At 48.0% G+C, this 3,522-nt stretch overlaps 1 pseudogene; it reads right to left on the bottom strand.

Moving 5' to 3' along the window:
• Nucleotides 357-1,587, bottom strand: CCNQP1 (CCNQ pseudogene 1; annotated as a pseudogene).

Raw genomic sequence — 3,522 nt, 5'->3', positions numbered from 1 at the left:
AAAGATGTGTCCCCCATCCTCTAACCACCAGTCCCAAGTCTTTAAATGACCAAAATGGTAAATAGTTCTAGAAAATTTCTCTTTGAAAACAATCATCCATCCATCCATCCATCCATCCATCCATCCATCCATCCATCCTCAGCCCCCTTAGTAGCTGGGATTACAGACATGTGCCACCATTCCCCGCTAATTTTTGTATTTTTAGTAGAGACAGGGTTTCACCATGCTGGCTAGGCTGGTCCGAACTCCTGACCTCAGGTAATCCACCCGCCTCCGGCTCCCCAAGTGCTGGGATTACAGGCATGAGCCACCGCGCCTGGCCTTTTTCTTTTTTTCTTTCTTTCTTTTTTTTTTTTTTGACTTGCATCACCTTTTTTTACACAAAATAGATTTCAGCCACATTGCACATTCATTCTCGCTATAAATCTGGCTTAAAAAAAATCCCTAGGGATTCAGTGTCATCGATAACATGATTTTCCTTTTATTGGCATCATGCCTCTATTGTAGTCAGAGTCCTCTCAAAGGACAAAAGCAGATGTGGCTCCTTTGGGTCAGCTGCACCCAGTGTGCTCCCGGCCTGCCCGCTGGAGGCACAGCTACCATCATCATCTGGACCGTGACTGCTAGGGACTGTCAAAGCGGCAGCATGTCATCGCCTTCACCAGCCCTTCTCCAGCAGCACAACCAGTCCTCCCAGCTGGTCCTCTGGGGACCAGCCATCATAGCGATGTGGTGGCAATGTCCCCAGGCAGCTGACCATCCTGGGCTTCTCTTTGGGCAGGCCTGGGCCAGGGCCTTAGGGGATCTCTGTGTCTATGGTATAAATCTGAATGAGATCAGACACAATAGTATCAATGATTGGCTTGGTAAGGTCGTCACTAAACGCCTGCCACCACAGCTTCTCAGCCTCGACCTCGGCGGGCACCTCGACTCCATAGACCTGCAGGGCCAGGTAGAGCACCACCACAGCTATGTGCTGGGCCTGGAAGCGGAGGCACAGCCCCCCGTGGTAGCTGTCCCGCAGCAGGGCCCAGGCAGTGACGGCAACGGGGGTCCGCTGCCAGCTGTGGCAGTTCAGCCAGTTCTTGAGGGAAACCAGGTAGTAGAGCAGGTACTTGTGTGGATGCTGGAAGGAGACCTGGAAGCGCAGAACTCTCAGCATGAGAAGCTCACGCTGCACAATGCTGTCCCGGAGCTCCCAGAGGCGGGAGTCCAATCCCAGGGGCTCACTGCTTGGGTTGAAGTACCTGTTGGACACACTGATGATGTCATGAGCCCACAGGGGCTGCTCTTCCACTTTGCCGGCCAAGTAAATGGAAGACATGGCAATCAGGTAAGGGTCAAAGGCGTCCAGGATGGTCTCGCAGAAGAACTTAGGGTAAATGGTGCAAGCAGTGGCAATGGGAATGGACTGCATCCCTAGCTTGACACCTGCCTCCATGATGAACCTCGCCACGCGGAAGTGCACCCTGGCTGCCGGCGCTGCGGCACCCTCTCTGGCGTCCTCTCCGGCGTCCTCTCCGGCCTCCTCTCCGGCGTCCTCCATGCCTTCCATGAGGCCACGCGGCTCCGGCGGAAGGAGGGTCGTTCCGACGGAAGGAGAGTCGGTCCGGGGCGCAGACTGGCCTTTTTCTTCCTTTCTTTCTTTTCTTTTCTTTTCTTTTTTTTTCACAAGTTGTATCATATTATGCATATTGCTCTCCCACATGAGTTTTCACTTAATAATATTCTTGGCATCGTTCCCTATCAGCACACAAAGTTAAAAAACAAAACAAAACAAAAAAACAGCTGCATAATATCCCATAAAATGGGCCAGGCACGGTGGCTCACGCCTGTAATCCCAACACTCTGGGAGGCTGATGCGGGTGGATCACTTGAGGCCAGGAATTTGAGACCACCCTGGCCAACATGGTGAAACCCTGTCTCTATTAAAAATACAAAAATTAGGCCGGGTGCAGTGGCTCACAGCTGTAATCCCAGCACTTTGGGAGGCCGAGGTGGGCAGATCACGAGGTCAGAAGATCTAGACCATCCTGGCTAACAGGGAGAAAACCCGTCTCTACTAAAAATACGAAAAATTAGCCGGGGGTGGTGGCGGGCGCCTGTAGTCCCAGCTAGTCAGGTTGCTGAGGCAGGAGAATGGCGTGAACCCGGGAGGCGGAGCTTGCAGTGAGCTGAGATCGCGCCACTGCACTCCAGCCTGGGCGACAGAGCGAGACGCCGTCAGAAAAGAAAAATTAGCCAGACATGGCGGTGCATGCCTATAATCCCAGCTACTCAGAAGGATGAGACACAAAAATCCCTTGAATTTGGGAGGCAGAGGTTGCAATGAGCTGAGATCGCGCCACTGCACTCCAGCCTGGGTGACAGAGCAAGACTCTGTCTCAAAAAAAAAAAAATTTTTCATAAAATGATATACTATAATTTATTTAACCACTTTTCTGTTAATGAGCATTTATGTTATATTCATGGTTGTTTTTCAAACAATTCTGTCCTGTCAGTTTATGGATATACTTGCAAAAGCACACTATGCTATGTGTACAGGAATATAACCACCGGTCCCAAGTCTTTAACATGACCAAAATGATATAAACTTTCTCTTTGAAAATGTACAGGAATGTACACATAGCTTAGTGTGCTTTTGCAAGTATATCCATAAGCTAAATTCCCAGAAGTGAAATTTTGTGTTCAAGGATATGTTGCCATCATGCGCTGCGTAACAATGTTTTGGTCAATGACAATCCTCATATACAAGGGTGATCCCACAAGATTGTAATGGAGCTAAAAATATTCCTATTGCTGGGTGAAGTCACAGCCTTCATAATGTAGCCCATGATAGACTCACACAAATCTAACATGAAAAAAGAAACAAACCACCATGAGCATCTTTCTGAAAAGAGTGATACCTCCTTAAGAACAGTCTCAGATCGGTCCTTCAGGAGGCATCCAGAAGAAGACATTGTTATCGTAGGAGACAACAGCTCCGTGTTGTGTTACTGCCTGCTGAAATTCATCTAGTAGGATAAGACATAAAGGTGGAAGACGGTGATATTGATGATCCTCACCCTGTGTTGGCATAGGCTAATGTGTGTGTTGGTGTATTCGTTTTTAAACAAAAAATTTGGCCAGGCATGGTGGCTCACGCCTGTAATCCCAGCACTTTTGGAGGCTGAGGCAGGAGGATCGCTTGAGGACAGCAGCTCAAACCAGCCTGGGCAACAAGGTGAGACTCTGTCTTTACAAAATTTTTTTTTAAAAAATCAAGCAGGCATGGTGGCTCATGACTGTAGTCTTAGCTACTTGGGAGGCTGAGGTGAGAGGATTGCTTGAGCCTTGGAGTTTGAGGTTACAGTGAGCCTTGATTGTGCCACTTGCATTCCAGCCTGGATGACAGAGCAGACCCTGTAGCTAAAACAAAACAAAACAACAAAAAGTTTAAGAAGTAAAAAATACTTAAAATTTCTAGAAACAGAAAAAAGTATATAGAATAAAGATATAGAGAAAGAAAATATTTTTGTATAG

This window comes from Homo sapiens, chromosome 1 (assembly GCF_000001405.40).
Source record: "Homo sapiens chromosome 1, GRCh38.p14 Primary Assembly".
Classification (NCBI taxonomy): Eukaryota; Metazoa; Chordata; class Mammalia; order Primates; family Hominidae; genus Homo; species Homo sapiens.
Note: the sequence above shows the minus strand (reverse complement) of the source record. Positions and strands in the feature narration are given on the sequence as shown.